Source organism: Homo sapiens, chromosome 19, assembly GCF_000001405.40.
Source record: "Homo sapiens chromosome 19, GRCh38.p14 Primary Assembly".
NCBI classification, from domain to species: Eukaryota; Metazoa; Chordata; class Mammalia; order Primates; family Hominidae; genus Homo; species Homo sapiens.
The window spans coordinates 10162237-10187776 of NC_000019.10; the positions used below are offsets into that span (position 1 = coordinate 10162237).

The 25540-nt window shown below is 47.6% G+C and overlaps 1 protein-coding gene across 4 annotated transcripts in view, besides 5 other annotated features; it reads right to left on the reverse strand.

The window, feature by feature from the left end:
* The window catches only part of DNMT1 (DNA methyltransferase 1), a 61608-nt gene that overhangs the window by 28891 nt on the left and 7177 nt on the right, over window positions 1-25540 (reverse strand). For 2 of the 4 annotated variants that reach the window (NM_001379.4, NM_001318730.2), the window contains exons 2-12: window positions 19805-19841; window positions 18542-18649; window positions 18114-18333; window positions 15056-15131; window positions 13304-13382; window positions 11635-11669; window positions 10854-10938; window positions 6094-6128; window positions 4362-4449; window positions 1090-1124; window positions 431-512 (exon numbers count right to left, since the gene is read on the reverse strand). In NM_001379.4, the coding sequence (NP_001370.1) occupies window positions 431-512; window positions 1090-1124; window positions 4362-4449; window positions 6094-6128; window positions 10854-10938; window positions 11635-11669; window positions 13304-13382; window positions 15056-15131; window positions 18114-18333; window positions 18542-18649; window positions 19805-19841 (880 nt within the window). Of the gene's footprint in view, window positions 1-430; window positions 513-1089; window positions 1125-4361; window positions 4450-6093; window positions 6129-10853; window positions 10939-11634; window positions 11670-13303; window positions 13383-15055; window positions 15132-17950; window positions 17999-18113; window positions 18334-18541; window positions 18650-19804; window positions 19842-25540 lie in introns of all 4 variants that reach the window. The other 2 variants (NM_001318731.2, NM_001130823.3) reach the window with 2 other exon arrangements.
* Window positions 18684-19094: an origin of replication, noted in NCBI's record as "c3 region; peak of nascent strand synthesis detected by competitive PCR of size-fractioned DNA". NCBI's record gives the evidence for it as "EXISTENCE:fractionation evidence [ECO:0000100][PMID:10092611]".
* Window positions 18684-22401: a biological region, named in NCBI's record as "origin of replication in DNMT1".
* Window positions 19997-22401: an origin of replication, noted in NCBI's record as "2.38 kb c1 construct; promotes replication of a plasmid as detected by bromodeoxyuridine incorporation into nascent DNA". NCBI's record gives the evidence for it as "EXISTENCE:nucleotide analog incorporation evidence [ECO:0001107][PMID:10092611]".
* Window positions 21699-22199: an enhancer, noted in NCBI's record as "H3K27ac hESC enhancer chr19:10294611-10295111 (GRCh37/hg19 assembly coordinates)". NCBI's record gives its function as "activates a minimal SCP1, AML or CMV promoter by ChIP-STARR-seq in naive H9 embryonic stem cells {active_cell/tissue: H9 hESC(naive)}" and the evidence as "EXISTENCE:reporter gene assay evidence [ECO:0000049][PMID:30033119]".
* Window positions 21759-22162: an origin of replication, noted in NCBI's record as "c1 region; peak of nascent strand synthesis detected by competitive PCR of size-fractioned DNA". NCBI's record gives the evidence for it as "EXISTENCE:fractionation evidence [ECO:0000100][PMID:10092611]".

Consider the following 25540-nt stretch of genomic DNA (forward strand, 5'->3'; position numbering starts at 1 on the left):
CAAGCAATTCTCATGCCTCAGGCTTCCAAGCAGCTGGGACTACAGGCATATGCCACCACGCCCAGCTAATTTTGCTGTGTCCCCAGCCTGGAGTGCGATCTCGGCTCACTGCAACCTCCACCTCCCAGGCTCAAGCGATTCTCCTATCTCAGCCTCTCGAGTAGCTGGGACTACGGGCGTGCACCACCATGCCCAGATAATTTTTGTATTTTTAGTAGAGACAGGGTTTCACCATATTGGTCAGGCTGGTCTTGAACTCCTGACCTCATGTGATTCACCCGCTTCAGCCTCTCAAAGTGCTGGGATTACAGGCGTGCGCCACCACGCCCAGTCTTCTTTTTCCTAAGACCAGCCTGGGCAACATGGCGAAACCCCGTCTTGGGGAAAAAAAAAAAAAAAAAAAAGAAAGAAAGAAAAGTGAGACCTTTACCTTTTCATCCTCGTCTTTTTCATCAGAAATCTGTGGATTTACTTTTTCAGGTTCTTTTTCTTCGGGCCTCCGTTTGGCAGCTCTGCAGGGTGAACAGATACACAGCAAGTAGCAGCTTAGAAACACTAACCACATCGCCAACTCGCACGGAAAGTGACAAACTAATGCCTCCCCATGGGAAAGCAAGATACCCATGGGAGCTCTATAGGCACACTGCCAGCTTGTCATCCCGAGACGAGGCCTTCAGAGGCCCCAGGGTCCCCACACATCTACATCACCACAGGTTTCTAGAACAGGCTTTTTTTTTTTTTTTTTTTTGAGACAGAGTTTCACTCTTGTCCAGGCTGGAGTGCAGTGGCGCAATCTTGGCTCACTGCAACCTCCACCTCCTGGCTTCTAGCAGTTCTGCCTCAGCCTTCCGAGTAGCTGGGATTATAGGCACCCGCCACCACACCCAGCTAATTTTTGTATTTTTAGTACAGACAGGGTTCCACCATGTTGGCCAGGCTAGGCTGGTCTCGAACTCCTGACCTCAGGTGATTCACCCACCTCAGCCTCCCAAAGTGCTGGGATTACAGGTGCAAGCCACCACACCTGGCCTAGAACAGGCTTTCTACTGATCCAGATGACACAAAAGCACAAGCATTTTAAACACTTACAGATCTTTGGGTTGACTTCTGTGCTTCTTCTCATCCTGACAGAAAAATAAGGGGGAGGTAGAGAGATAAAGAAGGGAAAAAATTAGTTTCTGAGCCAGAGTGAGATAAAATGCAAACACTGAAGTTACAGGTTAGGGATCCCAGCACTGTGGAGCTGGAAGACAGGCAGGCCTGGGCAGATCTACCGGGTAGACACGAGGCTTCACTTTCCCTCACTTAATTCCCCACCTGAAACTAACAAGAGGGCACTAAAGAACCTCCTAGACCAGGGCTTGGCAAACTGTTTTTGTAAGAGCCAGAGGATCAGTATTTTCAGCTTTGCTGACCACGTGGTCTGTGTCAGGATGATCATCTCTGCTATGGTAGCACAAAAGCACCCACAGGCAAAATGTAAATGAGAAAGTGTGGCTCTGTTCCAATAAAACTTTATTTACAGGCTGTGTGCAGTGGCATGTGCCTGTAAACCCAGCACTTTGGGAAGCTAAGGCAGGAGGATTGCTTGATGCCAGGAGTTCGAGGCCAGCCTGGGCAACATGCTGAGACCCCATCTCTGCAAAATATACTATATATATATATGACACAGGCTGGTCAGCTCGGGGGGCCCTGCACCGGGGCCAACAGCTCCTAAGGGCTGACACAAGCTCCTCCCCAGGTTCAGAGGACAGGCTGCCTCTCCTGTCTTCACTGCAGGAAGCCCAGAGGGCATTTACTACTCCAGGACTCAAGGTCTTCAGGAACACCATCAATACCCCATCTGAATGTTGGTCAGAGATGCCAGTGGTTTAATACAAAAAGCAGCATATATATATGGTTAATATATACATATATATGGAGAGAGAGAGAGAGATTGATTCACTCTTGTTGCCCAGGCTGGAGTGCAATGGTATGATCTTGGCTCACCTCTGCCTCTCAGGTTCAAACGATTCTCCTGCCTCGGCCTCTCTAGTAGCTGGGATTACAGGCATTCGCCACCACACCCAGCTAATTCTGTATTTTTAGTAGAGCTGGGGTTTCACCATGTTGGTCAGGCTGATTTCAAACTCCTGACTTCAGGTGATCCGCCCACCTCAGTGTCCCAAAATGCTGGGATTATAGGCGTGAGACACCGCGCCTGGCTTACAAAAAATAAGTTTAAAAAGTAGACATCCATGGTGGTGCATGCCTGTAGTGCCAGCTACTTGGGAGGCTGAGGTGGGAGGATCACTTGAACCCAGGAGACTGCAGTGAGCTATGATAGCACCACTGCACTCCTGCACTCTAGCCTGGGAAACAGAGCAAGATCCTGTCTCAAAAACAAACAAACAAACAAACAAACAAACACGCCGGGCGTGGTGCCTCACACACATAATCCCAGCACCTTGGGAGGCTGAGGCAGGTGGATTGTTTGAGATCAGGAGTTAGAGACCAGCCTGGCCAACATGGTGAATCCCTGTCTCTACTAAAAATATAAAAATTAGCTAGGCATAGTAGCACACGCCTGTAATCCCAGCTACTCAGGAGGCTGAGACAGGAGAATCACTTGAACCTGGGAGGTGGAGGTTGCAGTGACTCGAGATCACACCATTGCATGACAGAGAGAGACTATCTTAAAAAAAAAAAAAAAAAAAAAAAAAAAAAAAAAAAAAAAAAAAAGAACAAACCAAACAGACTGAATGCAACGGTTCATGCCTGTAATCCTACCACTCCGCCACTTTGGGGGACTGAGATAGGTGGATAACTCGAGTCTAGGAGTTTGACTGAGACCAGCCTGGGCAACATGGCAAAACCCTATCTCTACAAAAAATTAAAAAAAAAAATTAGCTGGACATGGTGGTGCCTGCCTATAGTCCCAGCTACTTGGGAGGCTGAGGCGGGAAGATCACCTGAGCCTGGGAGGTCGAGGCTACAGTGAACCGTGATTGCACCACTGCATTCCAGCCTGGGTGACAAAGCAAGACCCTGTCTCTTGGGATGGGGGACAGTGGCTCTTAGAGCTTTGGGAGGCAGAGATGGCACCTCCTGTGCAAGGGGCCCCCTGGGGTGGAACAGCCAACAATCCTTGTTCTCTGGGCACTGCTTTTATTATTATTACCATATTATTTTTTTGAGACAGAGTCTCGCTCTGTTGCCCAGGCTGGAGTGCAGCGGCATAATCTTGGCTCACTGCAACCTCTGCCTCCTGGGTTCAAGTGATTCTCCTACCTCAGCCTCCCAAGTAGCTGGGATTAGAGGCACATGCCACCATGCCCGGCTAATTTTTATATTTTTAGGTGACACCGGATTTCACCATGTTGGCCTGGCTGGTCTCAGACTCCTGACCTCAAGTGATCCACCCACCTCAGCCTCCCAAAGTGCTGGGATTACAGTAGTGAGCCACCATGCCCAGCCCTCACATCCCTTTCTACCATGAGGCAAAAGTGCTGGCAGTGTGAGCTCAGGCCCCTGCCAGTTTCCAATAGAGGGCAGGGAGTAATGTGACTACTCCAGTCTGAAGGAGTGCTGACAGTAAGGTGACCAACATTTGGACAGAAGAGGTGAGGGATGGGAGGCTGGAGGCAATACCAAAGGCTCCCCTGCTATGGGGTGGGGATGGAAGCCCACTGGCGACCGGGTCAGAAGTGAGGGTGCTTGTCACCCAGCAAGCCCGTGACCTTGGGCTCCACTCTCTAGATTGTAACAGGCAGAAACCCAGAGACCCTCTTGGGGTCTTCGGCATCTCTTAGATAGGGACCCGCCGCCCCCCACCGATGACCTAGCTCCCTTCCCTAGAGTTCATGCAGGAGGGCCTGCAGGCAACCTGGCCATCCTGTACTTTGACAGAGGCCCAGCAGTGTTCCACATGATGCTTTAGGGTTTAAACGCATGCACTTGGCTAAACTAGACTGGGGAGGCTGGCAGGGGGAGAGCTAGACTCAGAACGTAGGAGGCTGGGAAAGAATCAAAGGTGTGGCTGACATGTGCGTCAGAGCTGACTGTGTGTCAAGGCTTCTCAGCAGTGAGGCCTCAGGAGAGGATGCTTCATGCACATCTCAGCCCAGGCTCACACAGACCCTCTCTAGTGTGAAAGACAGAGGACAACTGAGTGTTCACTAGGCATCCAGCACAGGCATCCAGCCACAAATCCCGGCCCCCAAAAGGAGGAAAAGGTGACCTTCCCAGAGTCTGGATGGCCCCATGGAGCCTGGGTGGATGGGGCTGGACTTGAACCCAGAGCCCCACCCTGCGCACTCCCGCCCAAGCAAACAGGAGCAGAAGAATGAGGGGGAGTTCAGAAACAAATAACCCGCCTTTACTTTCTCGTCTCCATCTTCGTCCTCGTCAGCCTGCACGCCTGCCCTGGCTTCTCTGTCCGGCTCCTCCTTCAGTTTCTGTTTGGGTGTTCTGTCACAGAAGACAACACACACACAGGCTGGTCAGCTCGGGGGGGGCCCTGCACCGGGGCCAACAGCTCCTAAGGGCTGACACAAGCTCCTCCCCAGGTTCAGAGGACAGGCTGCCTCTCCTGTCTTCACTGCAGGAAGCCCAGAGGGCATTTACTACTCCAGGACTCAAGGTCTTCAGGAACACCATCAATACCCCATCTGAATGTTGGTCAGAGATGCCAGTGGTTTAATACAAAAAGCAGACAAAGGGATGTCATGATTTCCGTGGCCTGATGGGAATCCAGCCTGCGGTGGAGGAAGACCCATGTCTGGCCTGCCTAGGTTGAGAGCTGGGCTGATGTGCGATCAGCGTCAGTCAGTGACCGTGGACAGCTGACTGCACACAGGGGTCCGAGTCTTCACCTCCCACTCTGCCAGGGCCCTGCCGCTCAGGTGGGGTATTCTGCCCACCTCTGGATTCAGGCTCAGTCTCAAAATTTGCTTCAGCTAATTGTTTTCTTTTTCTTTTTTCCTTTTTTTTTTTCTTGAGGCAGAGTCTCGCTCTATCACCTACCCTGGAGTGCAGTGATGTGATCTCAGCTCACTGCAACCACCGCCTCCCGGGTTCAAGTGATTCTCCTGCCTCAGTCTCCCAAGTAGCTGGGACCACAGGCATGCACCACCACACCCAGCTAATTTTTTGTATTTTTATTAGAGACGGGGTTTCACCATGTTGGCCAGGCTGATCTTGAACTCCTGACCTCAAGTGATCCACCCGCCTCAGCCTCTCAAAGTGCTGAGATTATAGGCGCGAGCTACTGCACCTGGCCCAACTTTTTTCAACAGAGGTTTGAAAAAGTGCTACTTTTCATTTCTGCCCTTGTGGTCTGGCACAGCCACAAGCGTGTACCCAGCCTGGCCAAATTGCGGAGGCAGAGCTGGGTCAGCCCAGCCATCCCCACTAAGCCACCTCAAGATCAGCCGACAGCCACCAAGCTGTAGACAAGTGAGCTTGAAAAATGCTCACTGTTCTAGGCCTCTGGCCTTGGAGCCATTTGTCACACAGCATTTTCACAGTGAAAGGTAAGTGACACAGCTGCTCACCTGATGGCCTTTCACTACCACATGACACACAGCTGTGTGACCAACCCTGAGAAGGGCCCTGGGGTTGGGAGGAGAAATCGAAGCTAACTTCACCCCGTAATCCCAGCACTTTGGGAGGCGAGGCAGGTGGGTCACGGAGGTCAGGAGTTCAAGACCAGCCTGACCAATATGGTGAAACCCTGTCTCTACTAAAAATACGAAAATTAGTTGGGCATGGTGGTACAGGCCCATACTCCCAGCTACTCGGGAGGCTGAGACAGGAGAATTGCTTGAGCCCGGGAGGTGGGGGTTGCAGTGAGCCAGGATTGCACCACTGTACTCCAGCCTGGGTGACACAGCAAGACTCCGTCTCAAAATTAAATTAAATTAAATTAAAGTTAAAAAAGTTAACTTCAGCCTTCACTTCAGGGTGGTCTCACCTTTCACAAGCAGAACTTGCCCACATAAGAGACATATGATTAGTGCCCACTGTTCCACACCAACCCGTTATTTTACCAAGATACTTATGTTAGCAATTCAGTTTCACAACAAAGCACAAAGGCAGGTTCGCTGCACTTACGGTTCTTTGGTTTGACTTCGGAGTCTCTTTTCTTCCTAAGTTGCAGGGAAAAAAGACAAGTTAATTTTTTCCATTTGGTTTGGATCTTTCTATTAAAGTGTCCTATGGAAATAAAACACCTGAACTGATTCTAGAGTCCACTGGTGGGAGTAAAGACTGTCTACCAGTGGGCACAGTAGCTCATGCCTGTAATCTCAGAACTTTGGAAGGCTGAGGTGAGAGGATCACTTGTGCCAGGTGTTCAAGACAGCAATTTTCTTTTCTTCTTCAGTGGGGTAAGTAGACAGGAAATGAAACTCTTAGAAAGGAGATACTACAACACTGCAGTTTCAGTATTTTTACTTCAAAATTCCTCTACTACTTGTCATCAGTTAAGTGTTGATAGCCTCACAGAAAGTAACTTTATTATAAATCTCTACTTCCGATATTAAAGGAATGAAATAGGATGGCCCAATCTGAAAAGTAGCTCCAACTGAGACACAACAACACATCCTCTGAGACTGCATTTATTCATTTATTTATTTATGAGACGGAGTCTCACTCTGTTACCCAGGCTGGAGTGCAGTGGTGTACTCTTGGCTCACTGTAACCTCCAACTCCCAGGTTCAAACAATTCTCCTGCTTCAGCCTCCCAAGTAGCTGAGTTTACAGGCACACACCACCATGACCAGCTAATTTTTGTATTTTTAGTAGAGACAGGGTTTCATCACGTTGGCCAGACTGGTCTTGAATTCAAGTGATCCGTCTGCCTTGGTCTCCCAAAGTGCTGGCATTACAGGCGTGAGCCACCATGCCCAGCCTGAGGCTGCATTTAAAGAACCAGACACATCTTGCCAGAGAATCAGGCAAGTCAAATCCAACCCTCAGAAACTCCACATGTGGTAGTCTGTGAAGAGATCGCAAAGGTCAGGAATATTAAGAAACACTTTGCAGCTGGGCACAGTGGCTCACTACTGTAATCCCAGCACTTTGGGAGGCCGAGATGGGCAGATCACGAGGTCAGGAGATCGAGACCATCCTGGCTAACACAGTGAAACCCCGTCTCTACTAAAAATACAAAAAAAAAAAAAAAAAAAAATTAGCCGGGCGTGTTGGCGGGCGCCTGCAGTCCCAGCTACTGGGGAGGTGGAGGCAGGAGAATGGCGTGAACTTGGGAGGCAGAGCTTGCAGTGAACCGAGATCGTGCCACTGCACTCCAGCCTGGGCGACAAGAGCGAGATTCCGTCTCAAAAAATAAATAAGTAAATAAATAAATAACCCCGTCTCTACTAAAAATACAAAAAAAAATTAGCCTGGCGTGGTAGCAGGTGCCTGTAGTCCCAGTTACTCGGGAGGCTGAGGCAGGAGAATGGCGTGAACCTGGGAAGCGGAGCTTGAAGTGAGCGGAGATCGCACCACTGCACTCCAGCCTGGGCGACAGAGTGAGACTCCGTCTCAAATAAAAATAAAAAAAACGCTTAGCAAATCTTCCTACTACAAGAAGAAATCCTGAGAGTATGCTTACAGGTGAGGGATTTCGATCTTGCCCCAGGTTCCTTCTTTGGAAGGTGGTGGTTGAACTAGCCCGTTAGGACTGCTTGTTCTGAAACAAATTCGAGGTATGCACTGACTGCAACTGCTGTCTAATTTAACTAGGATCAGGGTAGGAAAGGTGATCAATGAAAGACCAGCCTCGGCCGGGCGTGGTGTTTCACCCCTGTAATCCTGGACTTTGGGAGGCTGAGGTGGGTGGATCACCTGAGGTCAGGAGTTCCAGACCAACCTGGCCAACACGGCAAAACCCTGTCTCTACTAAAAATACAAAAATTAGGCGGACGGGGTGGCGGGCGCCTATAATCCCAGCTACTGGAGAGGCTGAGGCAGGAGAATCGCTGGAACCCAGGGGGTGGAGGTTGTAGTGAGCTAAAATTGCGCCACTTCACTCCAGCCTGAGCGAAAGAGCAAAATTCCATCTCAATTAAAAAAAAAGAAAAAAAGCAAGAAAGACCAACCTCAAGTACTGAATGGTTCAAAAATTATTGTACAGCGGCCGGATGCAGTGGCTCACGCCTGTAATCCCAGCACTTTGGGAGGCCGAGGCGGGTGGATCACCTGGGGTCAGGAGTTCGAGACCAGCCTAGCCAACATGGTGAACCCCTGTCTCTACTAAAAGTACAAAAAGTTAATTAGCTGGGCGTGGTAGCGGAAGCCTGTAATCCCAGCTACTCGGGAGGCTAAGGCAGGAGAATTTGTTTGAACGCAGGAGACAGAGGTTGCAGTGAGCCGAGATCACACCACTGCACTGCAGCCTGGGCAAGTAGAACAAAACTCCGTCTCAAAAAACAAAAAAAATTACTGTACATTTTAGTTGATTCCCCAATGGACAGCCATCCTTTACTAAGCTCCCAAGTAAGGCACTCGTCACCTACCTAAGTTGGTAAGAAACTTCTAGTCATCTTGGTTTTTTTTTGTTTGTTTGTTTTGTTTGTTTGTTTGTTTGTTTTAAGACCAGTCTCACTTTATCATCCAGGCTGGATTGCAGTGGGACAATCATGGCTCACTGTATCCTCAGCCTCCTGAGCTCAAGTGATCTTCCTGCCTCAGCCTCCTGAGAAGCTGGAACTACAGGCACACTGCCTGTTGTAAGCTCCACCACATCCAGCTGATTTTTGTATTTTTTGCAGAGACGGGGTCTCACTACATTGCCCAGGCTGGCCCTGAACTCCTGAGCTCAAGCGATCCACCCACCTCGGCCTCCCAAAATGCTAGAATTACAGGCATGAGCCACCACACCCGGCCCTCAGTCATCTTATTAAAAAACAAAACAAACAGAAAAAAAAACAGGACCCAGCATCTGTATTGCATAGAACCTTAGACTCAGATTTTACAAAGAAGATGAGGGACTGGGGAAAGAGCTGGTCTGACTTCAGAGAGGAGAATACAACTTTATGTCTGGATGATGCTAAAGAATTTTAGCACCTCCTACATCTGAAAATTAGATCTTCACCAAGATCTCGTCAGCCAGAGAAGGTGGCTGAGGTGACAGACTGAAACTGACTAGTTGATTTAAGTAGCATAGGTTGGCCGGTGTGGTGGCTCGTGCCTGTAATCCCAGCACTTTGATGGCTGAGGCAGGTGGACCGTTCGAGGTCAGCAGTTTGAGACCAGCCTGGCCAACATGGTGAAACCCCGTCTCTACTAAAAACACAAAAATTGGCTAGGCGCGGTGGTTCACGCCTGTAATCCCAGCACTTTGGGAGGCCGAGATGGGAGGATCACGAGGTCAGGAGATCAAGACCATCCTGGCTAACGTGGTGAAACCCCTTCTCTACTAAAAATACAAAAAATTAGCCGGGCATGGTGGCAGGCGCCTGTGGTCCCAGCTACTCGGGAGGCTGAGGCAGGAGAATGGTGTGAACCCAGGAGGTGGAGCTTGCAGTGAGCGGAGATCAAGCCACTGCACTTCAGCCTGGGCGACAGAGCGAGACTCCGTCTCAAATAAATAAATAAATAAATAAATAAATAAATAAATAAATAAAAACACAAAAATTAGCCAGGTGTGGTGGCAGGCGCCTGTAGCCCCAGCTAGTTGGGAGGCTGGGACATGAGAATTACTTGAACCTGGGAGGCGGAGGTTGCAATGAGCCAAGATCGCACCTCTGCACTCCAGCCTGGGTGATAGAGCGGGAGACTGTCTCAAAAAAAAAAAATTAAATTAAATTAAATAAATACCACAAATAAGTAGCAAAGATCCTCGCTATGACAACCTCATAACCCACCTTCCATGTAGAGAACTACAAAAAAATAAGTTTGAAAAGTATTTTAGGCCGGGTGTGGTGGCTCACGCCTATAATCCCAGCACTTTGGGAGGCCAAGGCAGGTGGATCACCTGAGATTGGGAGTTCAAGACCAGCCTGATCAACATGGAGAAACCCCATCTTTACTAAAAATACAAAATTATCTGGCTGTGGTGGCAGGCACCTGTAATCCCAGCTACTCAGGAGGCTGAGGCACAAGAACCCGGGAGGCAGAGGTTGCGGTGAGACAAGATCACACCACTGCATTCCAGCCTGGGCAACAGAGCAAGACTCCATCTCAAAAAAAAAAAAAAAAAAAGTTTTAGCACCTCGTACGTCTGAAAATTAGATCTTCACAAAGATCTCATCAGCCAGAGAAGCAAGAAGGCGAGGTGACAAACTGAAGCTCTGTGACTAGTTGATTAAGTGGCATAGGTTGGCCGGTGTGGTGGCTCATGCCTGTAATCCTAGCACTTTGGTGGCTGAGGCAGGTGGATCACTCGAGGTCAGGAGTTCAAGATCAGCCTGGCCAACACAGTGAAACCCCATCTCCACTAAAATTAGCCGAGTATGGCGGCGGGCGCCTGTAGTCCCAGTGACTCAAGAGGCTGGGACATGAGAATCACTTGAACCTGGGAGGCAGAGGTTGCAACGAGCCGAGATCGCACCTCTGTACTCATTCCAGCCTGGGTGACAGAGTGGGAGACTGTCTCAAAAATAAATAAATAAATAAAATAAAATAAAATATCACAAATAAGTAGCAAGGGTCCTCACTATCACAATCTCATAACCCACCTTTCATGTAGAGACCACGAGAAAACAAGTTTGAAAGGTGTTTAGCCAAAGTCAAAGGCATTTCGATCACTAGCAAAACCCATCTTGTTCTTCCACGTTCCCCACCCCCTGTCCCCACGTCCTGGAAGGAAATTGGGACCATATAGGATTAAGGGAGAATTAACAAACTTAGAGGTGATAGAGCTTTACTTTTTCATCTCTTTCTTCTTCCTTTTCAGTGCGCGTTCCTGATTTTGCTCTTTCAGGTTCTTCTGCAGGAAGCGGTCTAGCAACTCTGTCAAGCAAAATAACACAGACCCCAAGTGTGAGTGCCAGGAGCTTCCCCAAAGAAGCAGTTTTCATAAAGCTCCTCTTTCCCCCAAAAGCAATCTTCATTATCTCAGGAGCCCTGACAGACACATACTCATTTAACATTTAGTATTTGATATGACTTTTACACCTGGTTCGAATGCCAGCTGCCCTCGATTCATTCCTTCCAAGAAAACAGGAGAATTCTACTTGAATCTAAACGCTAATGATCTGACCCCAAATTCAGATACTTCATAACGATATGGTTGCCATGGAAACACACGATAAAGTTCTTCTTTTTAAACTTTTTTTTTTTTTTTTGAGATGGAGTCTTGCTCTGTCACTCAGGCTGGAGTGCAGTGGAATGATCTCAGATCACTGCAGCCTCTACCTCCTGGGTTCAAGCAATCCTTCTGACTCAGCCTCCTGAGTAGCTGGGATTAAAGGCACATTCCACCACGCCCAGCTAAGTTTTGAATTTTTAGTAGAGACGGGGTTTCGCCATGTTGGTCAGGCTGGTCTTGAACTCCTGACCTCAAGTGATTCGCCCATCTTGGCCTCCCAAAGTGCTGAGATTACAGGCATGAGTCACCGTGCCCGGCCTTAAACTTTCTGAAAAAGTTTTGTGATCAAGATTACACAACTCGTAGAACAAAAAGAAAGGTATAGTAACTATTCTTACCGTTCTCTGGATGTAACTCTACGTCTCTTCTCATCCTGTGTGGAGGGAAGGAAGAACAAAAAAGATTAGAATACTGGTTTCAAGGGAAGGTCAACACCAAAAGTGTGAGTTGAAATATTAACACATTTGACATGGTTAGAGCAAGAGTGGGAAAAGAAGGGGCCTGGGTTTTGGGGAGAAGATCTGAGAAACTCTTACTCTGGTATTAATCCCCACCAACCCCAAAACAAAAGCAGGTCCGAGAAGTAGGCAGGCACACTGCCCATCACTAGAGATCGCCTGGTGATACTATGTAAAAGAATCAAAGATTCTCCATCTTGTGTCAGGAATTTGTTTAATTTATTTGTTAGAGACCAGTCTGGGCAACATGGGAAACCTCATCTCTACAAAAAATACAAAACTTAGCTCATTGGCATGCGCCTGTAGTCCCAGCTGCTTGGGAGGGTGAGGTGGGAGGATCGCTTAAGCCCAGGAGGTTGAGGCTGCAGTGAGCCATGACTGCGCCACTGCACCCCAGCCTGGTGACAGAATGAGACCTGTCTCAAAGAAAAGAAAAGAAAAGAAAAAAGACAGAACTGTAATCCCAACACTTTGGGAGGCTGAAGCGGGTGGATCACTTGAGGTCAGGAGTTCAAGACCAGCCTGGCCAACACAGTGAAATCCCATCTCTACTAAAAATATAAAAATTAGCTGGGTATGATGGCACATGCCTTGTAGTCTCAGCTACTCAGGAAGCTGAGGATGGAGAGTCACTTGAACCCAGGAGGCGGAGGTTGCAGTGAGCTGAGATCGTGCCACTGCACTCCATCCTGAGTGAAAGAGTGAGACTCCATCTAAAAAAAATTAAAAACAACAACAACAACAACAAAAAAAACAAATTGGCTGGGCACGGTGGCTCACACCTATAATCCTGGCACTTTGGGAGGCTGAGGCGGGCAGATTGCCTAAGCTCAAGGAGTTCGAGACCAGCCTGGGCAACATGGGAGACCAGCCTGGGCAACATGGTGAAACCCCATCCCTACTAAAATACAAAAATTAGCCGGGCGTGGTGGCACGCGCCTGTAGTCCCAGCTACTCGGGAGGCTGAAGCAGGAGAATCACTTGAACCCGGGAGGCTGAGGTTGCAATGAACCAAGATTGTGCCACAAGAGCAAAACCCTGTCTCAAAAAAAAAAAAAAGTCTCAAAAAAAGAAGTCTAAATACATACATACATACACACACACACACACACACACACACACACACACACACACACACATATATATAACATGTATGTATGTAAGACTGCCTTGCCACTTGAGCTATGACATCATTTCTCCCCTGGACCTCCAGCCTGCCCTGCAGATTTCAAATTTGCTGGCTTTCACAATCTTGTGAGCCAATTTCTCAAAATAAAGTCTCTCCCCATAAATATATATTCCAACTATGTACCCATAAAAACAAGAAAAAAATCAAACGAATTATATATATATACATACACGTGCATATGTATATATGTACCTATAGCTGTATACACACATATACATTCTATTGGTCCTGTCTCTCTGGAGAGCCCTAAATAGAGCCCTAGACAGGGTTTTTATTTACTTGGACAGAACACATATGAAGTCACAATCATCAAATACACCAAGTTAAGGTAGAGTCAGGAAATGAAAGCACTGGCCCTACCTGGTCTTTGTCTTCTTCCTTGATGGACTCATCCGATTTGGCTCTTTCAGACTCTTCCTGAGGTTTCCGTTTGGCAGGGCTGTCACACACAGTGAGGCCAACCATTAGTGGAACAAGACCCTAGGCCTCCAGCTGGCCTGAAGTGGACCCTCATTCACCAGGATGTTGAAAGAGGCTTCAAGTTTAATGTTTCTCTGAATGACGGGTTTAGAATGTTGTCTTGCCATCTTGTAAGTCCTAAGAAATCACGGGTCTAAACACCGATCAACAGCTGCTAGTGTCAGAGAAGAGACCTCACACACCTTTCTGATGGAGGGACACAGCACCATCCATAAAGTCAGCCTCAGACCAGGTGCAGTGGCTCACGCCTATAATCCCAGCACTTTGGGAGTCCAAGGCATGAGGATCACCTGAGTTCAGGAGTTTCAGACCAGCCTGGCCAACGTGGTAAAACCCTGTCTCTACCAAAAATACAAACATTAGCCAGGGGTTGTGGCGGGCACTTGTAATCCCAGCTACTCAGGAGGCTGAGGCAGGAGAATCGCTTGAACCTGGGAGGTGGAGGTTGCAGTGAGCCGAAATCATGCCACTGCACTCCAGCCTGGGCTACAGAGCAAGACTCCGTATCAAAAAAAAAAAAAAGTCAGTCTCAAAAAATAAAAAGCTGGAATCTGATCAGTCCTGTAATCCTATCAGTTTATAGGGAACAGAAGGCAAGGGGACCTGTGGAACACCACAAGGATGCAATCGGCCCAATCTAGGAACTATTGGACAAATGAATTTCTTCAAGTAAATGGCAAGAAGATAAGAGATGAAGGAATTTAAAATCTGTGAGGAATTTTAAGTAAAATAGGAGGGAAGGAATCTATAACTTTAAGGAACAAGTCAACCAAACGCTGTCTGTTTGCCACACGGCTTGTTCACCACAAAGGGAAAAACGTAAATACCAACTATATATCTGATAGCAGGGAATTCTTACATTTTTATAAAGACATCAGAACAGTATTATACTTTGGTTTGTTAAAAAGACTGTTTTGGCTGGGCACGGTGGCTCACGCCTGTAACCCCAGCACTTTGGGAGGTTGAAGTGGGCAGATCACCTGAGGTCAGGAGTTTGAGACCAGTCTGGCCAACATAGTGAAACCCCACCTCTACTAAAAATACAAAAATTAGCCAGGCGTGGCGGCGCGCGCCTGTAATCCCAGATACTCAGGAGGCTGAGGCAGGAGAATCACTTGAACCCGGGAGGCAGAGGTTGCAGTGAGCCGAGATCGTGCCACTGCACTCCAGCCTGGGTGACAGCCAGATGCTGTCTCAAAAAAAAAAGACTGCTAAATGTTAGCAATTATTGTAAAATATGAGTAATTTTTTAAAAAGTTGTCAAAAGAGATCTCATTGTCTAGAAATATACTAAACTATATATGGACAAAGTAATCCAGGTGGGGCAGGGACACACAATATGGGGGTATAGATGAAACAACGGCTGTAACTTGATAACTGTTGGCACTAGATGATGGGTATTTCAGGGTTCATTATACAAAACTCATGATTTTGTGTACATTTGAACTTTCCTATATGAGTAAAAACAGGTAACGTTTTCAGAAATGCTATTCATAAATGTCTAGAGAACAGAACCGCAAGATGAAAACCTATACAACACGGAAGACAGAATTGCCACGTGACGCCCTACCAATTCCATCCCAAAACAGCCGGCCCCTAAAAAAGGCAGCCGCCAATTTATCGTATACTGACCCCTTTGCAAAATGAGATGTGATGGTGGTTTGCCTGGTGCTTTTCCTTGTAATCCTGGGGCTAGGTGAAGGTTCAGCTGTTTAAAGAAGAAAAAGCATTAAAAAGAAAAAAAAAAGCCACTATCAATAGAAAGCCCACAGCAATAATGCAGTTCAACATTACTAAGCTATTGCAGGAAGCCAGGTTCTAAGGACTAAGCATCTTTGCATTTTTATTCTAGTCAACAACCAGCTTGCTAATGTTGGCAGTTAGCACCTGCCAGTTTGTTGAGCCATATCATGTCAGTTATTTGAGGGGCCAAATGCTAAAGAAGGCCAGGAAACAGAGCCTCTTGTTAAAATATCAAAAGATGAAGTGGGCCAGGCACAGTGGCTCACATCTATAATACCAAAACTTTGAGAGGCTGAGGTGGGAAAATAATCCAAGCTCAGGTATTCGAGAACAGCCTGGACAACATGGCAAACCCCCATCTCTACTAAAAATACAAAAAAATTAGCTGGGCGTGGTGGTACACACCTATAATCCCAGCTATTCAAGAGGCTGAGGCACAAGAATCACTTGAACCCAGGAGATGGGGGTTGCCGTGAGCCAAGATCGCGCCACTGTACACAGCCTTGGCGACAGAGCAAGACCCTGTCTCTTAAAAAAAAAAAAAAAAGAAAAGAAAGAAAGAAAAAAAAGAAATAGGCCAGGTGCAGTGGCTCATGCCTGTAATCCCAGCACTTTGGGAGGCAAGACGGGCAGATCACAAGGTCAAGAGATCGAGACCATCCTGGCCAACATGGTGAAACCCCGTCTCTATTAAAAATACAAAAATTAGCTGGGCGTGGTGGCACGTGCCTGTAGTCCCAGCTCCTCAGGAGGCTGAGGCAAAAAAATCACTTGAACCCAGGAGGTGGAGGTTGTGGTGAGCCGAGATTGTGCCACTGCACTCCAGCCTGGCAACAGAGTAAGACTCCATCTCAAAAAAAAATAAAATAAAGGGCCAGGTGAGGTGGCTTACACCTGTAATCTCAGCACTTTGGGAGGCCAAGGCAGGTGGATCACCTGAGGTCAGGAGTTCGAGACCACCTTGGCCAACATGGTGAAACCCTGTCTCTACTAAAAATACAAAAATTAACTGGGCGTGGTGGCGCATGCCTCCATCTCAAAAAATAAAATAAAAATTAAAAGAAAATAAAATAAGGCTGGGCATGGTGGCTCACGCCTGTAATCCCAACACTTTGGGAGGCCGAGGCAGGTGGATCACGAGGTCGGGATATTGAGACCATCCTGGCTAACACAGTGAAACCCCATCCTACTAAAAATACAAAAAATTATCCAGGCGTGGTGTGCGCCTGTAGTCCCAGCTACTTGGGAGGCTGAGGCAGGAGAATGGCATGAACCTGGGAGGTGGAGCTTGCAGTGAGCCGAGATCGTGCCACTGGGCAACAGAGCGAGATTCTCTCTCAAAAATAATAATAAAATAAAACAAAATAAAAATGAAGTAGCTGAGAACCAGACCTGAGCTCAAGTACTATCCTATTGTTTGTTTTTTAAAAAATTCCAGAAGAGGCTGGGCGCGGTGGCTCACGCCTGTAATCCCAGCACTTTGGGAGGCCGAGGCGGGCGGATCATGAGGTCAGGAGATCGAAATCATCCTGGCTAATATGGTGAAATCCCGTCTCTACTAAAAAATACAAAAAAAATTAGCCGGGCATGGTGGCGGGCGCCTGTAGTCCCAGCTACTCGGGAGGCTGAGGCAAAAGAATGGCATGAACCTGGGAGGCAGAGCTTGCAGTGAGCCGAGATTGCGCCACTGCACTTCAGCCTGGGAGACAACAAGACTCCATCTCAAAAAAAAAAAAAAAAAAAAAAAATTTCCATTAGAGTTCCTTTGCCTAAAACTGGGCAAGAGTCTGAGAATAAATGTTTAACCAGGCATATAAGGTCTTAGAAGGAGTAAGTATTTGTAGCACTTGTCATCTGCAACCTGTCACACTCATAGCCATGTTTTGGGATCTAATGCTGCAACTTGGTCGAAAACAACATTTTTTTTTTTTTGAGACAGTGTCTTACTCTTGTTGCCCAGGCTGGAATTACAGACACCCGCCACCACGTCTGGCAAATTTTTTGTATTTTCAGTAGAGACAGGGTTTTGCCATGTTGGGCAGGGTGGTCTCGAACTCCTGACCTCAGGTGATCCAGCCACCTTGGCCACCCAAAGTGCAGGGATTACAGGCATGAGCCACCACACCCCCAGCTAAGACAAAATTTAAAGACGTACACATCTAAGCTAGTTAGGAAGTGTCCAGTAATTACTAGTGAGGATGCGTACAAAAGAAAGGAACCTGGACACACTGACCTGGGGTCCAAGTTTAACTGCCCCCTTATATGCTACCAAAGCCTGCTTCTAGGTTGAAAATGAGCCAAGTGGGGCCGGGCACGGTGGCTCACACCTGTAATCCCAGCACTTTGGGAAGCTAAGGCGGGAGGACCACTTGAGGTCAGGAGTTCCAGACCAGTCTGGCCAACATGGTGAAACCCCATCTCTACTAAAAATACAAAGATTAGCTGGGCATGGTGGTGCCCGCCTGTAATACTAGCTACTTGGGAGGCTGAGGCAGGAGAATCGCTTGAAACTGGGAGGCGGAGGTTGCAGTGAGCCGAGATCGCGCCATTGCACTCTATCCTGGGCGATAGAGCAAGACTCTGTCATTAAAAAAAAAAAAAAAAGAAAGAAAGAAAGAGAGTTAAGCAGGGCCAGGCGTGGTGGCTTATGCCTGTAATCCCAGCACTTTGGGAGGCCAAGGCAGGTGGATTACTTGAGGTCAGGAGTTCTGGACCAGCCTGGCCAACATGGTAAGACCCCATCTCTACTAAATACAAAAATTAGCTGGGTGTGGTGGCACATACCTCTAATCCCAGTTACTTGGGAGGCTGAGGCAGGAGGGTCTCTTGAACCTGGGAGGCAGAGGTTACAGTGAGCCGAGGTTACACCACTGTGCTCCAGACTGGGCAACACAGTGAGACTCCATCTCAAAAACAATTAAAAATAAAAGGAATCATCTGCTCTTACGCTTAGCCTCTCCATCGGACTTGCTCCTCCTGGGCGTGCGAGGTTTGGAAAGGGGTTTGGGGGGGCTGTTGGCATCTGCCATTCCCACTCTACGGGCTTCACTTCTTGCTTGGTTCCCGTTTTCTAGACGTCCATTCACTTCCCGGTTGTAAGCATGAGCACCGTTCTCCAAGGACAAATCTTTATTTAAAAGGGATTTGACTTTAGCCAGGTAGCCCTCCTACAGCAGGAAAGGATAATTTAAGTAGCAGTGAATGTAAACAAGTGTCAGAGAACAAGGAAACACATGTGTTTCCTTCATCATCATCATCATCATCATCATCATCAGGCAATGAGGACAGCTGGGGATCTTGCTGCCTCCCTGGTCACAGACAAGTTACTAGGAGGAGACATTTTTCTAGAGGCTAGGATGCTGAGAACTGACTTACCTCGGATAATTCTTCTTTACGTAATTTGGTTTCCAAGTCACATAACTGATTCTTTATTTCTGTTTGCAGAAATTCGTGCAAGAGATTCAATTTCTCCTTCACACATTCCTAAGGGAAGGATATAGGTTTAGCAGTACCCACATTCCCAAGCTATTCACTAGTGGACTAATACACAAATTATTGAGCTGCCTGATCACATCACAATGAGTGAATGGCAGGCAATGCTGTCTCAGTCAAAACACTAAACAGTCATGAAATGTGTTCAGGGAATTTCCATTAGGATCACTTCACTCCTGTCTCCAAAGTGGTGAAAAATGGGAAAGCTGGAGGTGAGATGGAGACATATCATGGTTTATAAGAATAATACTGTGCTTCTGTAAAGTGTCGGCCAGGCACAGTGGCTCACACCTATAATCCCAGCACTTTGGGAGGCCGAGGCAAGTGGATTGCTTTGAGCCCCAGAGTTCAAGACCAGCCTGGGGCAACATGACAAAATCCCATCTTTACAAAAAATATTTAAAAATTAGCTGGGCATGGTGGCTTGAGCCTGTAGTTAGAGCTACTCAGGAGGCTGAGTGGGAAAATCACTTGAGCCTGGGAGGCGAAGGTTGCAGTGAGCCAAAATTGTGCCACTGCACTCCAGCCTGGGCTACAGAATGAGACCCTATCTCAAAACAATAACAAAAACACAATAAAACAGTGTTACCAGGACAAGTTACAATCCAGAGTAGATTGTTTAGGAACTGAGATTGGTTAAAAAAAAAAAAAACCTGGGCCAGGCATGGTGGCTCACGCCTGTAATTCCAGCACTTTGGGAGGCCAAGGTGGGCAGATCACGAGCAGGCGTTCAAGACCAGTCTGGCCAACATGGTGAAACCCCATCTCTACTAATAATATAAAAATTAGCTGGGCATGGTGGTGCGTGCCTGTAGTCCCAGCTACTTGGGAGGCTGAGGCAGGAGAACAGCTTGAATCCGGGAGGCAGAGGTCACAGTGAGCCGAGATCATGCCATTGCACTCTAGCCTGGGTGACAGAGTGAGACTCTGTCTCAAAAAACAAAAACAACAACAAAAAAAAACACCACCACCACCCAACTATTAGCAGCAAATTAGTGCTGACATTTAACAAGAATATCCAAATTATCTTTGAAACTCCATGGGAAAAAATGCAAAATCCATTTAAAGAAAACAAATTTCTTTTTATGAGCCACAAAGTGTGTCAGTCAGATTTGGTAATAAGAAAAATTTTAAGGTGGAGATTACCTTTTCTGTTAAGCTGTCTCTTTCCAAATCTTTGAGCCTGGGAGGAAGAAATAGGGGAGAAAATACAAACACTTGTTAAGCAACTTCATTTGCCTGTAAGAATATCACAGTTCTAAAGAAGTTTTGGACACAAACAAGTTTAACATATGAGTGTTAGAAAAAACTAAGCTGGCTTTTGTCTCCCCGCAAGAGTCTAGAGTGTCCTACTGGAATGCCTAATGCTAAGAAGTCATCTGATCTGAACAAGGTTCCCCTTTTGGGGGTCATTTTTCTGATGATTGTGAGATTACATAGCAGCTCTGTAACACAATTATGTGTATGTGTGTGTGTGTGTATATATATACATATATATGTGTATATATATACATATATATGTGTATATATATGTGTGTATATATATACATATATATGTGTATATATATGTGTGTATATATATACATATATATGTGTATATATATGTGTGTATATATATACATATATATGTGTATATGTGTATATATACATATGTGTATATATATATACACACACACACAGCAGCTCTGTAACAGAGTATGTGTGTATATATGTATGTATATATGTGTATATATATACACACACATATATACATACATACATATACATTATACAGATAGATAGACAGACAGACAGACATGGAGTCTCGCTCTGTTGCCCAGGCTGGAGTGCAGTGGTGCGATCTCAGCTCACTGCAACCCTCACCTTCTGGGTTCAAGTGATTCTCTCACCTCAGCCTCCCAAGTAGCTGGGATTATAGGTGCCACCAGCCTCGTTAATTTTTTGTATTTTGAGTAGAGACAGGGTTTCACCATGTTGGTTAAGCTGGTCTTAGATTCCTGACCTCAAGTGATCCGCCTGCCTCAGTCTCCTGAAGTGCTAGGATTACAGGCATGAGTCACCATGTCTGGCATGCATATATATATACACGTATATATATACACGTATATGTGTGTATATATACATATATATGTGTATATATACGTATATATGTGTATACATACGTATATATGTATACATATGTGTGTGTATATATATATACACGTATATATACGTGTGTATATATATATATATTTTTTTTTTTTGAGATAGGGTTTTGCTCTTGTTGCCCAGGCTGGAGTGCAATGGTGTGATCTCAGCTCAACCTCCGACTCCCAGGTTCAAGCGATTCTCCTGGCTCAGCCTCCCGAGTAGCTGGGATTACAGGCATGCACCACCACACCCAGCTAATTTTATATTTTTAGCAGAGACAGGGTTTCTCCGTGTTGGTCAGGCTGGTTTCGAACTCCCGACCTCAGGCGATCCACCTGCCTCAGCCTCCCAAAGTGCTGGGATTACAGGCATGAGCCATCATGCCCAGCCTGTATATTTTAAAAGGTACCAGAGACCAGGCATGGTGGCTCACGCTTATAATCCCAGCACTTTGGGAGGCCAAGGCGAGCGGATCACTTGAGCCCAGGCGTTCAGACCAGCCTGGGAAACATGGCGAAACTCCATCTCTACAAAAATACAAAAATTAGTGGCTGGGCGTGGTGGCTGATGCCTGGAATCCCAACATACAGCAGCAGTTGGGTGGATTACCTGAGGGCCAAGGTGGGTGGATTACCTGAGGTCAAGGGTTTGAGACCAGCCTGGCCAACATGGCGAAACCCCATCTCTACTAAAAATACAAAAATTAGCCAGGCGTGGTGGTGGGTGGCTGTAATCCCAGCAACTTGGGAGGCTGAGGCAGGAGAATCACTTGAACCCGGGAGGCAGAGGTTGCAGTGAGCTGGTCACACCATTGCACTCTAGCCTGGGCAACAAGAGTGAAACTCTGTCTCAAAATAAAATAAAATAAAATAAAATAAAAATAACTGGGTTTGGTGGCATGTGCTTGTGGTCCCAGTTACTTGGGAGGCTGAGGAAGGAAGATCACCTGAGCCTGGGAGGTCGAGGCCACAGTGAGCCGTGATTGCATCACTGCACTCCAATCTAGGAGACAGAGTGAGACCCTGACTCAAAAAGATACCAGGAAAGAGGGGGCAGGTCATATAGTTGGGGCACTCCCGTAAGGGAAATGACCTACAGCTGGTCTTTCTCCAGTTGGGTCTGACAACAGCCCATAACAAGGTGTGCCACAGTATGGCCAGTGTCAGAATGAGTAGCCCAGGGCCACAGGACACTGTGGGGAACAGCCAGCTGATGTTCCTAAAGGCCTGGTGGGGGGTGGTGGCATTTTGAGGATGAAATGGGGGAGTCAAGCATCCAGGGAAGCAAGGGGTACCCACACAGAGGGCAGATAGAGGTGAAGTTAGAGGAGGTGGCTGGCGCCTCCCCGAATAACTCATTCTTCAGGATGTCTCTAGCTAGTCATTCCTAAATGTAGAACTGCCAGGAGTTTGCCTGGGAAATCGTGGTCTGATTTGATTACTGACAATTAGTAGCTTGACTCTTTCAGGGACAAAGAGGGAAAAAAATAAAAGAACAATAGCCGGTGCAGTGCCGCGGTGCTGCGTGCCTGTAACCCCAGCTACTCAGGAGGCTGTGGTGGGAGGATGGCTTGTGGGCAGGAGTTCGAGTCCAGCCTGGACAACATAGGGCGATCCTATCTCTTCAGAAAAAAATAAAGGAACAAGAAGAGAAGGTACCAAGGAAAGGGAGAGGAACACAGGCTGTTGTTCCCAGCCTGGGTGCTAACTACAGACTGCGGGGTGAGAACAGGCCTAACCAGCTGGGTAAGTGTCTGTTGGTGGAGAGAAGGTGCCCCAGGCAGGGACCAGGCCACTGCCATCTCTGGACCTTTCCACCTAGCACCCGCACAGACAGGTGCTCAGTTATCATTTGCCTGAAGGGCAGAAGTGGCTCCTCCAGGCTGGCCTTCCTAGAGGGTAAGTGCAGGCAGCAGCATGAGGAATGCTTTGCTGGACCCATGTCTTACAACAGCTGCTCTGGGTCATGCGGGCCCTGATTCCCCACCAGCGCCGCTCACATATGAGCACCTGCTGAATGCCAGGCCCTGCTCCAGGCAAAGAGCTAAGTGATTAGATGTAGGTGTCACTAGGCAGGGACTTCCTGACTTGCTGTGTGGTTAGGAAAGACCATTCTGTAGGGCCGGGCACGGTGGCTCACGCCTGTAATCCCAGCACTTTGGAAGGCTGAGGTGGGCGGATCATGAGGTCAGGAGATGGAGACCATCCTGGCTAACACAGTGAAACCCCGCCTCTACTAAAAATACAAAAAATTAGCCAGGCGTGGTGGTGGGCGCCTGTAGTCCCAGCTACTCAGGAGGCTGAGGCAGAAGAATGGCGTGAACCCGGGAGGTGAAGCTTGCAGTGAGCCAAGATCATGCCACTGCACTCCAGCCTGGGCAACAGAGCAAAACTCTGTCTCAAAAAAAAAAAAAAAAGACTGCTCTGTAGAAGAGACACTTAGCACCCTACAAACACAGTGGTAATATAGACTGTATATTATATATACTGTATCACTTGGACTCAAGGTGCTACAAGGCCAGGCAAGACGCAGTGGCTCATGCCTGTAATCCCAGCACCTTGGGAGGCCAAGGCAGGAGGATCACTTGAGGTCAGGAGTTTGAGACCAGCCTGGGCTACACTGAGAGATCCCATCTCTACAAAAAAAATGTAAAAATTAGCTGGGTGTGGTTAGTGTGCACCTGTGGTACCAGCTACTTGGGAGGCTGAGGTGGGAGGATCGCTTGAGCCTGGGAGGTTGAGGCTGCAGTGAGTTATGATGGTACCACTGCAATCCAGCCTGTTCAGCCTGGGCAACAGAACAAGACCCTGTCTCAAAAGAAAAAAAAAAAAAAAAAAAGATGCTTTGACATCAGGATTTCCAGGAGCACAAGGAACCTCTTCCAGGCAAAAGTCATTCTACCCTTGTAGCAACTGGGGTCCAAGGAGAGCCTTAAGTCAGGAGGGCTACAGAAACTGGTACTTCCAGCCAGAGGCACACACGCTGTGGTAATAGCGTTACACTTGACTTCTCAGTCACGCCGCTGAGAAAACTGGAAGGACATGGCTTCTACCTCGACCAAGCCAGCCAGTCCCCTGATCCCGAGGTTGCCTGGGGTGTGAAGGACAAGGTTCAACTGATTGCGGAGACCAAGGTGTCCTTGCAGAATGGGTCTGCTTTCTTTCAACCCCTCATATGAACTGGGATATTTAGCCTGGCAAAGAGAATAGAGAAACCTTCAAAACCCCTAGAATGTTTCATCCAGTAGAAACTGGATTTAACCTGCCTGGCCCCAGAGTGGCAGGTGGGATCCCAGGCAGGCAGTGAGGAGCTGGCGGGAGGGTAACTTTAGCGACATCCCTTCCCTGGTAAAACTGTGATGACACCGATCACACCTGCTGAAGCCAGGAGGGTCGCAGACAGCCGTGAAGGACGGAGCAGAGGACTCAGAATGCCGGCTTAGTGCCCAGCCTGAGACCCTATGATTCCTTCCTAGTGCTTCCCTCAGAGATGAACCCTCTGCAGAGGGGAGATAAGATATATATAAACAGCTGGCCAGGCACGGTGGCTCATGCCTGTAATCCCAGCACTTTGGGAGGCCGAGGCGGGCGGATCACCTGAGGTCAGGAGTTCGAGACCAGCCTGACCAACATGAAGAAACTTCGTCTTTACTAAAAATCCAGAATCAGCCAGGCATGGTGGCACATGCCTATAATCCCAGCTACTCAGGAGGCTGAGGCAGGAGAATCGCTTGAACCCGGGAGGTGGAGGCTGCGGTGAGCCAAGGTCACGTCATTGCACTCCAGCCTGGACAACAAGAGTGAAACTCCGTCTCAAAAAAAAAAAAAAAAAAAAAGATATATATAAACAACCACAGAGGAATAAGGCAAATACAGCTCACGCCTGCGGGATTCCCAAGAGAAAGGGTATAACAGCCTCAGGAAGAAGTTGACAGCTCTGTGTGAACCGGGCACAGGAAGCTGCTCAAACAGGGGCACCATTGAGAAGTGGCTGGTTCTGGAAACACACAAGAAACAAACGTGAGACTGGCCACATACAGGGAGGGAAAGGCACCTCCAGAGAGGTGGCTGGGGACAGTCGGAGGGAGGGCAAAAGCATCACACTTATCCATCTTGTTCCATAGTTAACAAACACCAAAGCAGTCAAGGGGAAGTAGAACCAATGACATCAGAGCCGTGTTAAGAAAACTAACCCAGCAGAGGTATCTAGTATAGATTGGATAGGAAGAAATTATAAAATGTTAGATTACTCTAACACCTCTACGCCAGAAATGCTCGTCTGAAATACAGCAGACCATGGCTGGGCGCAGTGGCTCATGCCTGTAATCTCTACACTCGGGAAGCCAGGACAGGAAGATCACTTGAGCCCAGGAATTCGAGACTAGCCTGGGCAACAGAGCGAGACCCTGTCTCTACAAGAAAGAATAATTAGCTGGCTGTGGTAGCATGCACCTATAGTCTTAGCTACTCGGGAGGCAGAGGCGGGAGGATCACTAGAGCTCAGGAATTTGTGACCAGCCTGGGCAATACAGTGAGACCCTGTCTCTACGAGAAAACAGTAATTAGCTGGGTATGACAGCACGCACCTGTACTCCTAGCTGCTCAGGAGGCCGAGGCGGAAGGATCACTAGAGCCCAGGAATTTGAGACCAGCCTGGGCAACACAGCGAGAACCTGTCTCTACAAAAAATAGTAATTAGCTGGGTGTGGTGGCATGCACCTATAGTCTTAGCTACTCAGGAGGCTGAGGCGGG